We start from the raw sequence: 17,290 nt of genomic DNA, 5'->3' as shown, positions 1-17,290 counted from the left end.
GGACTACAGGCACGTGCCACCGCACCTGGCTAATTTTTTGTATTTTTAGTAGAGACGGGGTTTCACCATGTTAGCCAGGATGGCATGTAGTCAATCTTAGAATAGTAAGAATGAAACATAGGTATATTCTATGGTTGTTAGATGGAGTACTCTGTAGACATCTATTAGGTTCAATTAATTGGTCACATGACGAGTTTAAGCCCAGATTTTCTTTGTCAGTTTTCAGCCTTGATGATCTGTCTTAACACTGTCAGTGGGGTGTTAAGGTCCCCCACTATTATTGTGTGACTAAGCCTTTTGTAAGTCAAGAAAAATTTGTTTTATGAATCTAGGTGCTCCTATATTGGGTACGTATATGTTTAGAATGGTCAGGTCTTCTTGTTGAATTAAACCTTTTATCATCATGTACTGCTCTTCTTTATCCTTCCTGATTGTTGTTGGTTTAAAATCTGTTTTATCTGCTATAAAAATAATAACTCCTGCTCTTTTTAGTTTTCTGTTTGCTTGGTAGATCTACTCTATCCTTTTACTTTGAACCTGTGAGTATCTTTACATGAGAGATGGGTGTCTTGAAGACAGCAGACTATCGGGGCTTGTCTTTTTGTCCAACTTGACATGCTATCCCTTTTAAGTCGGGCATTTAGACCATTTACATTCTGGGTTAGTATTGATACATGAGATTTTGAGACTGTCATTATGTTGTTGGCTGTTTATTTCGTAGACTTAGTTGTGTGGTGGCTTTACATTCTCTGTAGGCCATGTCCTTGAGTGTGTTTTTGAAGGAGCATGTTTCAGTTCTCTGTTTTCATGTTTAGCACTCCGTTAAGTACTTGCTTATCTGAGAAGTATTTTATTTCTCCTTCACTTATGAAGCTTAGTTTGATGGGACACAATATTCTTGCTTGGAAATTATTTTCTTTAAGATTGCTGAGAATAAACCTTGATTCTCCTCTGTCTTGTAAAGTTTCTGTTGCAACGTCTACTGCTAGCCTGATGGGGTTCCCTTTATAGTTGACCTGACCTTTCTCTCTAGCTGCCTTTAGGATTTTTTTCTTTTACTTTGACTTTGGTGAATCTGATGACTATGTGCCTTGGGGATGGTCATCTTGTGTAGTATCTGTAGGGTTGTCTGTATTTTTTGAATTTGTATGTTGCCCTCTCTAGCAAGTCTGGGAAATTTTTCATGGACTATGTCTTCAAATATATTCTCCAAGTTACTTCTCTTTTGGGAATGCCAATGAAATGTAGGTTTGGTCTTTTTACATAATCCTATATTTCTCAAAAGATTTTATTCACTTTTTAATTCTTTTTAAAAAATTTTTGTGGGGCTGGGCATGGTGACTCACTCCTGTAATCCCAGTACTTTGGGAGGCTGAGGTGGGTGGATCACCTGAGGTCAGGAGTTTGAGACCAGCCGAACCAAGATGGTGAAACCTCATCTCTACTAAAATTACAACAATTAGCTGAGCATGGTGGCAGGTGCCTGTAATCCCAGACACTCAGGAGGCTGAGGCAGGATAATTGCTTGAACTTGGGAGGCGGAGGGTGCAGTGAGCCGAGATTGTGCCATTGCACTCCAGCCTGGGCAACAGAGAGATACTTTGTCTCAAAAAAAAAAAAAAAAATGCTGGGCCTGAGCCATCACGCCTGTAATCCCAGCACTTTGGGAGGCCAAGGCAGGCAGATCACGAGGTCAGCAGATGGAGACCATCCTAGCTAACATGGTGAAACTCCGTCTCTACTAAAAATACAAAAAATTAGCTGGGTGTGGTGGCGGGCGCCTGTAGTCCCAGCTACTCGGGAGGCCGAGGCAGGAGAATGGTGGGAACCTGGGAGGCAGAGCTTGCAGTGAGCCGAGGTCGTGCCACTGCACTCCAGCCTGTGCAACAGAGCAAGACTCTGTCTGAAAAAAAAAAAATTTTGTCTGACTGAGTTGATTTGAAGAGCTAGACCTCAAGCTCTGAAATTCTTTCTTCAGTTTGATCTATTCTGCTACTGATGCTTCTAATTTTATTGTAGAATTCTTGAAGTAAATCTTTCAGTTTCAGAAGTTCAGTTTGGTTCTTTCTTTTTTTTTTTTTTTTTTGAGACAGAGTCTTGCTCTGTTGCCCAGGCTGGAGTGCAGTGATACAATCTTCGCTTACTGCAACCTCCACCTCCCGGGTTCAAGTGATTCTCCTGCCTCAGCCTCCCAAGTAGCTGAGAGTACAGACATGTGCCACCACGCCCGGCTAATTTTTGTATTTTAGTAGAGACAGGGTTTCATCATGTTGGCCAGGCTGGTCTCAAACTCCTGACCTCAAGTAATCCACTTGCCTTGGCCTCCCAAAGTGCTAGGATTACAGGCGTGAGCCATCACACCCGGCTGGTTCTTTCTTAAAATGGCTGTTTAATCTTTCAGCTCCTGGATTGTTTTACTGGGTTCCTTGGATTCAACTTTCTCTTTGATCCCATTGAGCTTCCTTGCCATCCAGATCTTGAATTTTATTTCCATCATTTCAGTCATCTCAATCTGGCTAAGAACCATTTCTGGGGGACTAGTGTGTTTGTTGGTAGGTAAGGGGGCACACTGGCTTTTTGAGTTGCCAGAGTTTTTGCATCGATTCTTTTTCATGTGTAAGGGTTAGTGTTCCTTTAACTGTGAAGTAAGTTGAGTACAGTCAGTTGGCTTCATTTTAGGGTGTTTTCAGAGGGTCAGGAGTATGTACAGAATGTTTATTTGTTGCTTAATCTTTGCCTTAGTTTTCACAGGTGCTGTGTACTGGCAAAATATTTTTGTGTTGTATTTTCCACCGTGATCCAGTAGGTGGCACTTAAAAGTGTTAGCCAGCGGACAGGCAGATAGGCTTTTTTCTCAGCTGCACAGCTCTTTTGTGTTTTCCTCAAGTTAGCATAGTGCTCTTTAGGGGGTGGGGTAGAGATGACCCCCTCACCTTGTCCACTCCTGAGCCTTGGAAGAGCCCCCTCTGATCACTGACTCCACGCCTGTGTTTCTTTTATTAGGTGTTCTTGTCCATGGGGCTTCCTCATGTAGGGGCCACAGTTGGCAAACAGGTCATATCCTTTCTGGAATGGCTGTACAGAGGGAGGCACAACCCACTCCTCCACTGACCTGTGAACTTGGGCATCTCACTTCTTTTAGTGATGCAAGAGTGAGGATTCCCCCACTGCTTGGGCACCACCCAAGCCAGCAAGAACTGCTTGGCTAGGAGTTGCAGGGATGAGTGGGGTCACCTAATCTGCTGTCCAGCTGCTTCGCAGGGGAACATGGAGTTGCCCCCACCTGCAGAGTTCATATAAAAGCAGGACTGCTGGGCTGGAAGCTCTAGCAGGTGTGGGCTGCTGGCTGTGAGCAGTGGCAGTGGGTGGAGTCACTCACCATGCCATTAAGGTGTTTCCTAGGGGAACAAGAGACTGTGCTTGTCAGCAGAATTCAGACAGAAGTGGTACCACGGGGCTGGAAGCTCTAGCAAGTATGGCCTGCCTGGCTACAAGTGGCGGGGATTGGGTGAAGTTGCCTATCCTGTTGTTTGGGTGTTTCCTGGAGGAACAGGAGACTGCACCTGTTGGTAAAATGAAAACAGAAGCAGGACCATTGGGCCAGAGGCTGGTGCTGAGCTTTGTCTAGTGATTTGGGGTGGAGCAATCTTACTGCTCTTGGGTACCATTACTCTCCAGTCCTGTGAGCTGGTCTGTGTGGCTGGCAGGTTTAGCTGCCTTGACCGCTCAGCTTGCTCCCTGCTCCTGCCAAGGAGGGTGTAGTTTGCCCTGGAGGAGCATGAAGATAGGAGATGAGCACCAGTCCTCAGGACAAGGTCCCATGTGCTTTCACGACCTTTGCATCACCTGGCCCTAGACCCTCTCCAGCACCTGCCTCTCCACCTCGCTGTAGTCCCAGCTATTTGGGAGGCTGAGATAGGAGAATTGCAGTGAGCCGTGTTCTTACCACTTCACTCCAGCATGGGCAACAAAGTGAGACCCTGTCTCAAAAAAAAAAAAAAATAGGAAGCAAACTGTAAGAATTAAGAAATTTTGAAAAAGTAAAAAGTGTTTTTAGGAGAGAAATCAAAGCAGGCTGTAGAGTAACCTGCTAGAGTGATTAGCATGACTAAAAGAGAGACAGATGCTATCAGAATGATGGGGGGGAAGGTCCTGAAGGCATTGTGGAAATCTTTTAGGCAGCCCCTCCCATCATAGGCCCAGAGGCTTAGCAGGACAGAATGGCTTTGGGGGCCAGGCCTGGGCTCCTCTGCCTTGCCCTGCCTCAAAATGCAGCCCCTCCCTGCATCCCAGCAGCTCTGACTTCGCCTGAGGCTCAGATGGCCCCAGATACAGCAGGCTCAGTTCCAGAGGGTGCACATTTTAAGCCTTGGTTGCTTCCACATGATGTTAAGCCTGTGGGAGCAGAGAATAAAGGGTGGCTGAGGTTTGACAGCTTCCACCTGGATTTGAAGATGTGTGAGAAAGCCTGGGTGCCCAAGCAGAGCCTGTTGCAGGGGCAGAGCCCCCACAGAGAGCTTCTATGAGGGCAGTGTGGAGGAGAAATGTGGGGTTGGAGCCCCCACACAGAATCCCCACCAGGGCATTGTCTTTGGAGCTGTGGGAAGAGGGCCACTGCCCTCTAGACCCCAGAATGGTAGATCCACCAGCAGTGTTCACCCTCAGCCTGGAAAAGCCGCAGGCACTCAACTCCAATGTGTGAGAGCAGCCACAGGGTTGCACCAAGCACAGCCATGGGGAAGGGGCTGCCCAAGCCTCAGGAACCCTGCCTTGCGCCAGTATGCCCAGGATGTGAGACATGGTGTCAAAGATTAATTTGGAGCTTTAAGGTTCATTATCTGCCTTGCTGGGTTTCATACTGCATGAGGCCCGTTGCCCCTTTCTTTTGGCTGATTTATCTCTTTTGGAATGGGAATGTTTACCTAATGGTACAGCACCATTTTATTTTGGAAGAAATAACTTGTTTTTCATTTTACAGGCTCACAGCTGTATGGAAATTACCTGCAAGTCTCAGATGAGACTTTGGACTTTGGGCTTTAGAGTTGATCCTGGAACAAGTTAGGATTTTGGCGGGCTATTGGGAAGGGATGCTTGTATTTTGCAATGTGAGAAGGACGTGAGATTTGGGGGGGCCAAGGGGACCCTAACTGGACACATGGTTTCAATTTTTATCATATTATTTTGTAAAACTACTCAGGGTTTATTTATTCATTTGTCTATTGCTTATCGATCAGTCAATTTTTAATGTGGCTTCATGATCCTAGAGAAACATTAGACACTTAGCTTTGTTTCTTGTCTAGAAAATGCTCAATTCTATTTTGAGTCAGGGACCCCCAGAATCTGCATTGCCCTACAGTTTTTTTGTGGTGTAGATGGCAGGTAAATTTCTTCAGCAGACTAAGGCTGTTGATCTGGAAGACAATTTAACCTTGGGAAGTTGGGATGGATAAGATTTGCTGGCTTGCCTGGAAGGGTCTGCAAGGTTCAGTCCTGGGCCTCCTTAGGAGAGTGCTGCAGTTCAGGCCTGCATTTTCCCTCCGTTACCACTAGATGGAAGTGGTTTCTGCGATTTTTTTCCCCCAGTATTGGAAGCCAGCATGTCTGGGGAGCTGCATGTAGCACTGCTTATCTCGGTGGAAGGTGCTTGTCCTGGTGTCTGCATTCTGCAGAACAGCTGGTCTGCTGCTTTCCAGCCGGAGGTAGCTGCCCCCTGCAACCCAACACACAGGTCCATGCAGAGAACAGCAATCAGCCTTGTCCAGGCCTTGCTGCTTACCTAGTGCTGCCTACGCACAACTATATTCTGCCCTCACAGAACACCTCTGACATTGGTGTGGTGTCATCTGCAGTTTGCAGACCAGGAACTATTCAGTGGTGCTCAGGCCCTGGGCCTGTCTGCAGTGCAGGACCCCCAGGGACATGGGCCGCCTAAGCCAATGCAGGCAGGACTTGTCAGCAAGGACTCTTTTTCCCACAAGAGCCATGAAAAGCCTCTGCCTGTGGAGTTGGACCCCTGCCGTCTGCTGCCAGCTTCAGGCTCGCTGCAATTTGTGGAGCCTGATTTTATCTGCTCCTCCAACCTCCAACTCCCAACTCCCCTCCTAGCCACTAAGTTACCTTCCCACCCGCTCATCATCTCGCCAGACTTTCCATCATCACAACCTCTCAGGTTAACAAAGCTCTCTGGCCTCATGCCTGACTTCCTGCTCCACTCACTGCATAGCTGTGCTCCTGGAGGGAAAGATAGCCCACCACACACAACTGATAAAGGGCAGGGCTGAGATTTCAAATCAGGGCCTCTAGCCCCAATTCTCACATTCTCATATACCAACTACACCTCTCCTACTCTGTCCACACCTAAAAATGCTGCTCTAGTTCCTCTGTAGAAAAGTTTCTAATCAGCTGTCAAATCAGGCAGGAGTGGCACGTGCTGTGCCCACAGCAGACATGAGTAGCTGCTCACAGCGGTTGCTCTTCACCCCGCCTGGGGGAGGCCTCATCATCCTCATCATCACGCCCGAGAGGCTGCTTGGATGTATTTGATATGGCATGATATCACACTGACTGGTCATCCCTAGACTAAGGGCACTTCTCAACCCCAGAAGAATCCTCCTTGCTCCAAGTGTCCATTATCTGAAATCAATTTAATTACCTCTTAGAAAATGCTGCTTCTTGGGCAGGTGCAGTGGTGCATGCCTGTAATCTCAGCACTTTGGGAGGCCGAGGGGGGTGGATCACCTGAGGTCAGGGGTTCGAGCCCAGCCTGACTAACATGGTGAAAGCCTGTCTCTACTAAATACAAAAAATTAGCCAGGTGTGATGCCAGGCGCCTATAATCCCAGCTACTTGCGAGGCTGAGGAAGGAGAATTGTTTGAACCTGGGAGGCAGAGCTTGCAGTGAGCTGAGATCGTGCCCATTGCACTCCAGCCTGGACAACAAGCGTGAAACCCCATCTCAAAAAAAAGAACAAGAAAATGCTGCTTCTATTAAATGTGCTACTAATGAGATCTTCGTCATATAACACAAGCAGGTGTTTCTCTGCCAGGAACATTTAGTAAATGTCTGTTCTCAGTGCCTCCTATTGGGATGTTAGCCCATTTTAATTGACCTCATTAGTAAATTCACACTCTAGGCTTAGACACAAGTCCAGGATACATGGGAGAAGGGACAAGTGTCAGAGCAGGACTGCAGACAGGCGTCTGCCGGAAGCTCCTGGAAGGTTGGAGCAGGAGACACAAGGAGTCTTTGAAAGGAACGGGGCAGGGAGTCAAATCCTGCTTCTACATTTATAAGCCTATATAATAATCTTATATAATCTCATATAAAGCCTATTGTTGCCAACACAAAGTTGTGTAAGTCCTACTATTGGTAAACAACATCCATATCCCATAAGTCATTTAGATTTTAATGTGAACACTTGTGTTGTTTATTGTGATTTGTCTTTAGTCCCTGAATTGTACGTCCCATCCCAGTCAGGCTGTGACTGTGATCTTCATCAGCCTTTCTTTCTTTCTTTTTTGCCTGTTTTACTTTGAATATAGGCATCTTTTAAACAGAAAAACGAAGAAAGTTGTAAAATGAACTTCCATGTGCCCATTACCCAACTTCAACAACTCACAGCGATAGGAATCTTTCCCACCCACTCCCATCGTTGCTCCAGATTGTGCTGAAGTAATTCCCCAATGTCAGATCGTTTGATCTGGAAATATTTTAGCAACATATACTCTTTTTTGAGACGGAGTTTCACTCTTGGTGCCCAGGCTGGAATGCCATAACACGATCTCAGCTCACTGCAACCTCCACCTCACTGATTCAAACAATTCTCCTGCCTCAGCCTCCCGACTAGCTGGGATTACATGCATGTGCCACATGTCTGGCTAATTTTTGTATTTTTAGTAGAGACGGAGTTACATCATGTTAGTCAGACTGGTCTCGAACTCCTCACCTCAGATGATCTACCCTCCTCGGCCTCCCAAAGTACTGGAATTACAGGCGTGAGCCACCATGCCCAGCCTTAGAATATACTTCTAAAAGATTAGTTCAAAAAAAAAAAAAAACTTAGAATCACTCCCAAAAAATTAACCAGTATTTCTTAATACCAGCCCATACCCAGGCAGTGTTCAAATGTCTCTGAATGTCTCTTTTTTCCTCAGTTCTTTTTCAAATAAGCTCCAAAGAATGTCTGCCCTTTGCAGCTGGTTGGTATGACTCCTAAAGGTGCCTTGTAATCTATAGGTTTCCCTCACATCTCTCTTTTTTCCTGGAAATAGACATGTGGAAAGAATGGGGTCATTTCTCCAGTATGCATGCCGATGGCATGCATCTGCCATGGTGTCCATTAGTACCCTCTGACCTTGTATTTCCCATGACTCGGTTATTGGATCTGAGGCTTCATTTAATTTAGAGTTTTTTGGTAAAAACACATAGATAGTTCTATTTCCACTCAGTGATCCATCATTTCTCTTTCTGTTATATTAATAGCAATTAAAGATTATTAACTATAAGATGGAGCACAATTGCTTCTTAAATCTTTTTTTCTTTTTTTTTTTTTTTTTTTTTTGAGATGGAGTTTCACTCTTGTTGCCCAGGCTGGAGTGCAGTGGCACAATCTCGGCTCACTGCAACCTCCGCCTCCTGGGTCCAAGTGATTCTCCTGCCTTAGCCTCCAGAGTAGCTGGGACTAAAGGCACCCACCACCATGCCCAGCTAATTTTGTATTTTTAATAGAGATGGGGTTTCACCATGTTGGCCAGGCTGGTCTCGAAATCCTGACCTCAGGTAATCCACCCACCTCGGCCTCCCAAAGTGTCGGGATTACAGGTGTGAGCCAACACACCTGGCCCTTAATTCTTAAATATTAAAAATTAAGAATAGAATTGCATCAATGTATTTATGTATGTACTCCAGGTTCAAAAAGGATTTGAGGCAAATAAAACACAAAAGCACCCCCAGAAGCCCCATAGCCAACTCACAACCCTGGATCACCATTTTATCCTGTAAGCAGAAAGAAACGTCAGCCCAGAAAACCGCCTGTTGACCCTCACAGGCTTTAGGCACTAGCACTTCCTCCCAGTTAGAAGGGCATCAACAGCTGTGGCCATACTGGGATCTAGGGAGCAGGGATTGGGGCAGAGGCAAACATAGCAGCACACACCTATAGATAAGGAGCAAATGAGAAGAAGCAGAGGCAGCTAGGAAGAGACCTGGAGAAAGGAGAAGGAGGCAAAACAGTGAGCCTACAGAGCTGAGGAAGGCTTGGATCTCCAAGTACTGCTCAGCCAGTGTGGACAGACAGAAGGTAAGGAAAGAGGTCTGTGATGCTGGGTGAAGGGAGTTCTTCGAGAGCCCTGAGCAGAGGCTCTGTGGTAAGTCTGATAGGGGTACCTGCATGGTTTGCACAGCCCCATCTCCCCTGTCCTTCCATGGTAGGGGCAGGGAGGGTTGCTTTAGCTCACTCCATGGCAGTCCACAAGTGGGATATGGATTTTTTCTATCTTCCCACCACTCCCCCAGCCACTGCAGGCTCTGCCTTCCCAATAGACTGTCTTGAAAGTTGATACAGCACCTCCCGCTTGTCATATTCCAATTTCCCACCACCACCCACAGGCCACTAAAGCTGGTTGGAATGTAGAGGCTCTATATGTCAGAAAAAGCATAGAAGAGCAAAAGGCAGATTGATTTTTATTAGGGTAACAACTGTAAATAAAAGATTAGCGTTAATGGCCTACAGCTTTGAAAGACCTGGTGGAATGGTCTCTCGGCTTCTGCTACCTGCAAGTGCTAGGTAGGTACAAGGAGCCACATGCCACATCCCAAAGAAAAGCATTGTCCTATGGTTTAAGTCGATTGGAATGATGATGGTGGTAGTGATGGTGATGGTGGTAGTGGTGATAGTAAAGATAGTCATGGTGGTGATATTGATAGTGGTAATGATAGTGGTAGTAGTGGTGATGGTGATGATGGTAGTGGTAATGATGACAGTGATGGTGGTAATAGTGATGGTTGTGATGATGATAATGGTGGTGATGATAGTGGTGATGATGGTGGTGATGGTGGTTGTGGAGGTGGTGGTGGTGGTGGTGATGGTGGGGGTGATGGTGGTAGTGATGGTGGTGGTGATGGTGGTGGTGGTGATGGTGATAGAGGTGATGATGGTGATGATGATAGTGGTGGTGGTGGTAATAGTGGTGATGGTAGTGATGGTGGTGGTGATGATGGTGGTGGTGGTGGCAGTGGTTGTGGTGATGGTGGTGGTAGTGATGGTATTGCTGATGGTGATGGTGATGGTAATGGTGGTGATGGTGGTGGTGGTGATGGTAGTGATGGTGGTGATGATGATGGTGGCAGTAGTGGTTGTGGCGATGATGGTTGTGGTGATGGTAGTGTTGATGGTGATACTAATGGTGGTCGTGGTGGTGATGGTGATGATAGTGATGACAGTGTTGGTGGTGATGGTGGTGGTGGTGGTAGTGGTTGTGGTAATGGTGGTGGTGGTGATGGTGATGATGGTAGTGTTGATGGTGATGGTGGTGGAGGTGTTGATGACATTGATTGAGCAGTTACCATATATCAGGAACAGTTGATATACATGTCTGTCACTTAAACCTTATAATAACTAATTATTGAACTTGTCCCTATCCCCCAGTGAGTGTCCTACAGGGGTCCTGTGGACCCATTAACCAGGGCAGGATCCCAGTCAGGATCAGGAGATTTGGAAAAGAGACAAAGATGTTGAGGCTATAATTGCTATGGAGTAAGGTGTTACAACTAGTCTTACAACTAGTTAAGAACTTGAGCTGCTGGGTGAGGTGCTCTGATCATATTACCATGAAGAGCAATAGAGTGACATAGATGCTTTTCAGGCATCTGGTCAACATGCTCCATTTGATATTTTACCCACACTTGGTGTGGAGTGGAAAAGCAAATGGGATTTCAAAAAGCCTTGATCACCAATCCTGAAGACCAGGAGACTCACTGAGGGCCACATGGATGGGGTAAGAAGAGTTTGCTTTGCTGGAAACTGTATCGTTCAACAGTCTCTATGACTTTCTCAAGAAAGTTTGTGCTTCTGTGAGCGCCCACACCAGTGTAGATACATTCACTCTGGCAGCCTCACCAGGCAGTCCACGTTCCCAGTTGGGAATGAAGACATGTCTAAAACACAGACACTCTCAACATCATATTCATATTGTACCCTCTCATTTGACCTATAAAGCCTCATTTCTTCTAGAAAAGCAGAAAAACAACCACTGGGGTGGTTGTTTGTATTTTTAGAAATCCATCAAGATGAAAGTAACCCACAGAGTCCAAAGTGGAGAATCCATAACTCAGACTATAAGCCTGGAAAAAATTCTATCACCCCACCTGGCCAACCCCAGCCCAGCCCCTAAAAAGACATAAAATTGGTGTTGAATCACATCTAATGCTACAATATCCCAGGGAGGCTGCCAGTGTTCTAGGGGCTATGTAGTTCCTGCACATGAGAGGCAACATTGTTGTACAAGGATAGAATAATGACGCAGGTCATGTTGAGGAGACAGTAGGGTAAACAATTGTTGAAAGGTATTCTCTTGATATAGGGTCCATGACAAAAAGGTGGAGTAGGGATGAACCCTAGAAGCATAGAGAACCCTGGAGCAGGTACAGCGATCTCATGGTATCTCACCCCATCCTTATCCAGAATATAAATGTCAGAAATGGAGGAATGACTCAGGATCATTATCCCAAAATGGAGCCAGTGGAAACCCCTGTAGGGAAAGTTTCGTGCTGTGATGAGATGACAGGTCCAGTTCCTTGCCTTGAGCCCCTGAGCAGGCTCACAGGTGCCCTCTCTCACAGCAGGTCCCCTCTGGGATCCTTCATCCCAAGGTCACCCTCAAATTTGCCCCAACAGCAGAGTATGTTTGGTGTCCACAACAACCGCTGTGCTCAACTGCAGCATTTTCCAAGTGTTAGAGCTCCCCCAACCCTGGGCACTGGGTAGGAAGACTTCCAGCAAAAGTCTTCAACCTGATAATGAGGCTGCTGACACAAATGAATGTTTCAAAAGGAGCTTCTACCTGTCCTGTTGTGAGCTGAGTTTCAGGGTTGAATGTAGCTTCCCGGGGCTGGGGTCAGAGCAGCCTGTCAACATATGTCAGCCTCTGGTGATGAGCAATCCCATTCTCAATGAGGTAGTTTAAAATTGACTTCTACTGTGGTGGAGTCCCCACGAAATAGGCACAAATGTGGGGGGCCCTACTCAGACAGCAGCATCCACCAATAAGCTGCAGGGGTCATTCCTCACTGCAAAAGCACAGACAGCATAGTCATCAATCAGCTGCCGAAACATTGCAGGTTGTCTTGGGACCCAGATATTATTCTCTCCTTTTTAAGGAGGTTGATATTTGAGACAGTTACTGTAGAAAGGAGAAGACTAAATCTAAGCCATAGAATGTCTAAGATTTTCTGGAATTTTCTCAGAAAAGGGCACATGATATGTCAGGTTGGGATGACATCCAAGCAGACCCTGAGGCCTTGGTTCAGGAGACTGTACAGTTGCTGGTTAATCAAGTGCTGAAGATGGCCCTGGCACAGTATGGCCACAGTGCCAGGATAGACTGATATTAAGACAGTCATGTCCAGAAGGATCTCCTGTGCTCATCACTGTTGCAGATACAAGCGAGGTTGGAGGCTCTTTGAAAGATAAATTTTATAAATGCGTGCATACTAAGGAGATGGTGCAGGAATGAGGGAACTGAACCAGGCCAGTCTCAGACAATGAACACAAACTTAAGGTTGTAATAATCCCTGTAAAAAAAGTTAGACTTTAATCATAAGCACATCTCTGCATTAGGTGAAGAGTACATCTAGCTAAGAGTTTGTTGGACCCTTTTCCTCAGACCTTGACCTTATCCCAGAGGCTATGGTGGATATAAGGAACTTATCCTCAGCGTCCATCCCTAACATCCCCCAGTATGCCTGTATTTGTCTCTTTGTGCAGCTATAACAAAATACTGGGCCGGGAGCAGTGGCTCACGCCTGTAATCCCAGCACTTTGGGAGGCCAAGGTGGGTGGATCACAAGGTCAGGAGTTCGAGACCAACCTGACCAACATGGTGAAACTCTGTCTCTACTAAAAATACAAATTTAGCCGGGTGTGGTGGTGTGCACCTGTAATCCCAGCTGCTCAGGAGGCTGAGGCAGGAGAATCACTTGAACCCGGAAGGTGGAGGTTGCAGTGAGCCGAGATCACGCCACTGCACTCCAGCCTGGGCTACAGAGCAAGACTCCATCAAAAAAAAACAAAAACAAACAAAAAAAAAACATCTACTGGGTAGCTTATTAACAGAAAATTGATAAGCCCTTTGCCTTTGGAGGAGGTCAAACAGATTGGTGAGATTTTGACCTCCACAATGTCAGCAGTGGCCTTTGGACTAAAAATCTTCCTGGCTGGCTGGAGTCTGTAGTTCTGTGGCAAATGCCAGCCCCATGCTCTATAGGAGTGCTCAGAGGGTGCTCCCAGAGCCTGGAGCCTGCTCCTCCAGCCCTTCCTACAGTTTCATAAGCATTCCTTCACTGTCTTCATGTCTGTTCTGTTCAAAAGCTAGACTTGTTCAGAGAAGAAACACATTCATTCAGCAAGAATTCGGCTTGCTCTCTCTCTCAACATCCATTTCAAAGATGTTGGCTTTATTCTGAATAGGAAGAGTCCTTGAAAGGCTTGGAGGAGAAAAGAGACACTACTGGTCTTATATTTTATCTTAATTTTTGTTTTCATTTTATTTTGTTTTTATTTTTATTATTTTTCTTTGAGACGGAGTTTCACTCTTGTTGCCCAGGCTGGAGTGCCATGACACCATCTCGGCTCACTGCAACCTCTGCTACTGGGGTTCAAGCGACTCTCCTGCTTCAGCCTCCTGGGTAGGTAGGATTACAGGCACCCACCACCATGCCTGGCTAATTTTGTATTTTCATATTTATTTATTTATTTTGAGACGAAATTTCGCTCTGTTGCCCAGGCTGGAGCACAGTGGAGTGATCTCATCTGACTGCAACCTCAGCCTCCCGGGTTCAAGTGATTCTTCTGCCTCAGCCTCCTGAGTAGCTGGGATTACAGGAGTGCACCACCATGCCTGGCTAATTTTTGAATTTTTAGTAGAGACGGGGTTTCACCATGTTGGTCAGGCTGGTCTCAAACTCCTGACCTCAGGTGATCCGCCCCCCTGGGCCTTCCAAAGTGCTAGGGTTACAGGCGTGAGCCACTGTGCCCGGCCTTGGACTTACATTTTAAATGAATCATTCTGCAGCCATGTGAATAGACTTATGTTTCATAAGGCTGGAATCAGGGAAGCCAGTAAGGAGGCTGTGGCCAGGATTTAGGCAAGAGATGACCATGTCTGGGATAGGCAGGATAGAATCAGTGCCTTGACAAAAGCCCAAATTCTCATATGTTTGTTTTGAAAGGACCAGAGGCTGTGACAGGCAGGGAGGACTCAAAGATGACTTCAAGGCTTTGGGTCTGAGGCCCTGGTAAAAGGGGAAGATGAGGGCAGTACTGGCGGAGTAGGTTCAGGACGAGCTAAAGCTGGAGGTGCCTAACAGGGACCCACGTGGACCTGCAGAGTAGTCGTCTGGATAAAGGCACCTGAATATCAGAAGAGAGGTCCAGATATGCTTTACATTCCCAACACAAGTGTGCATTACTTTTATATGCAGAATAAAACAATGGGATTTTTAACATAATTGAGTATCAGTAAATGTTTTGGTAGTTAAGTGTTTGTAATCATTAATCACTAGAGGGCAATATACATTAATTTTCTGCTATCTAACAGTCTCAAAAAGAGGGAATTGCTGGGAATAGTGGCTCACAACTGTCATCCCAGCACTTTGGGGGGCCAAAGCAAGGAGGGATCACGAGGTCAGGAGTTCGGGACCAGCCTGGCCAACATGGTAAAACACCGTCTCTATTAAAAAAAAAATACAAAAATTAGCCACGCATGGGGGCACAAGCCTGTAATCCCAGCTACTTGGGAGGCTGAGGCAGGAGAATTATTTGAACCCGGGGGGGGCGGAGGTTGCAGTGAGTCAAGATTGTGCCACTGCACTCCAGCCTGGGCAACAGAGCAAGACTCAGTCTCAGAAAAATAATTAATTAATTAATTAATTTAAAAAGAGGGAATTAAAGCAAGTCTGATAAAATGATGAAGAAAACCAGGGTAAAGAGTCGAGTGTTCCAGCCCAGAATGGCATTAGCTGTTTAGAGGCTGACTTTGATGATGTTGGCATCTCCACAACAGCAAGGTTTATGTCAGGCCACTGCAATTAGGGAGGCCGAAAGCTGGCACATTCAAAATGAGTGAGCAGGTCATTCTTTACTCAAGTTGGACCCACTCTTTACTTACTATATTTGCCCAAATGGCAGGCAAACTGTTCCCTCTCACTTCCGCATGACATAACATGCATATCAGTCAACACTAAGGGAACTTGGCTAAGCGTAGCTCTTTTGTCCTTGGGAAAAGGCGTGGTAAGGTCATGGCGTTCCTAAGGGACCCTGGCTCCCTTTGGTGCTCTCTTCACCTAGTTACAATTTGCTAAAGAAAACAAGCAGAGCGTACGAAGGGCAGCACATTTCCAAAGAAAGTTTCCAACCCAGAGGTCACCATGCCCAGGGAATGAGTAACCCAGTGTGGCACATTAAGGGGCAGGTTCCACCTGAGTTAGCACAGGCGGCAAAAGGGAGAAGACTCGCCATCACAGTGTGATTTAGTATGCCTGGGGGCGGGAAGAGATGAGGTTGATTTATGCAAGCCCCAGGTGGGAGCAGCATCCTGAGTAGAGAGAATGTCCAGCCTGGCCACTCAGCCCTGAGACACTGCCCTCCAGCTGCGAATAGCAGCCTGCTCAGCCCTGCTCACCAGTCTTTGTTAAGAACTACACGTCCCATGGGGGGTTACAAAACCACCAATACCTTACAGGGGTCACAAAACCGCCAATACCTTTGGACACTTTTGAAATGGAGGGAAAGGGCAAATGCAGTCTCTGAGCCTCACAGGACACCCATGCCCTCTCTCATGCCCTCTCTCAGTAACCCGGAGGAAAGTTACCTTCATGAACAAGGAAGAGGACCGAGGCATGATGCATTTCATCCAGCACATGGCTCTATGTGCCCGGATGCAGCACCTATGCTTACGTAATGAGAAAAGGTGTGAGAGGAACTTTTGTTTCATGGAGCATTGCCCAGCCCACACCACAGTCCTGTAAGTGCCCATCCTGTTTACTTTGCCATTGCTGCACTGATGGACAGCCATCTATGGAGACAAAGCCAGAGCAGGGGATGCAAAGCTGGGCTGGACCAGAAGGGTTGCCTCAGCCATCTAGAGATGGGGAGGGGACATAAATCTCTGAATCATTCTCTAGGGGGCTAAGGTCACTGATGGGAAGAGCACACAATGAGCCGCATCCAAGGGGTGGGAGGGAAACAGAAGAAGGGGTCAAGGCAGAGGCTGAGAGAGTCAAAGTGGATACATCAGGGTGGGGTGAGGAGCCCACAGAGGGGAGAGGTTTAGGTTGGAGCTACACCTCTAAATGTGTGGGGTCAGGCTGGTCCTAAGAATAGAAACAAAGCAGCTAAATAGAATCCAGCCACTAGTGGGAACAGGCATGATCCAAGGACTGAGATCTGGGAGCTTCATGCTAAAGAACTACTATGTGAATTAAATAAAGAAAATAAAGGAGTGGTCAGAGAGTGGGAAGAACAGGAAAACCTAGCTTCATAGAAGGAGGTGGAGGAGCCTGTTTCAATGAGTGGACCATTGACAATGGCCAATGCCAAAGAGAGATGAAGGAGCTTGAGAATTTAAACAGAAGGCCACTGGGCCTTATCTCATTCAAGTTTTTGTTTCACATATGAAGTTTTGGTAGAATATAGGGGCCTACATGATAGGGCTCTGAGGAGGGAAAGATCCACAGAAGAATAAATCAGTATCTATGATATGAGAGTGGGGCAGGAAAGTGCTGGGTAGAGAAAGGCAGGTCCCTGGCTAGGGCTCCACCCCCGGGCCTGTGCCCATGGACATAGGTGAGGACAGGTATTTCTGTTTTCATGCCCAAATGTTGCATTTTCCAAGACCATCTTGGCTCACCACGCCCCCAATCCTATGCCTATAAAAACCCTGAGACCCTAGTGGGAAGAGACACAAGCAGCTGGACATCGAGAGGAACACACTGGCGAAACAGCACACCGAGAGGCACCAGCAGATGCCGGCAGGTTATCGACTGCCGGGATGACACGGAGTTTGGCTGGCGTGG

General features: G+C 46.6%; 1 annotated feature.

Annotated features, from left to right (window-relative positions):
* Window positions 12,974-13,190: a silencer, noted in NCBI's record as "fragment chr7:51427306-51427522 (GRCh37/hg19 assembly coordinates)". NCBI's record gives its function as "represses an EF-1alpha promoter that drives an FKBP-Casp9 reporter gene in an ReSE screen in K562 erythroleukemia cells {active_cell/tissue: K562}" and the evidence as "EXISTENCE:reporter gene assay evidence [ECO:0000049][PMID:32094911]".

This window comes from Homo sapiens, chromosome 7 (assembly GCF_000001405.40).
Source record: "Homo sapiens chromosome 7, GRCh38.p14 Primary Assembly".
NCBI classification, from domain to species: domain Eukaryota; kingdom Metazoa; phylum Chordata; class Mammalia; order Primates; family Hominidae; genus Homo; species Homo sapiens.
This window is presented reverse-complemented; position numbering and strand designations above follow the sequence as displayed.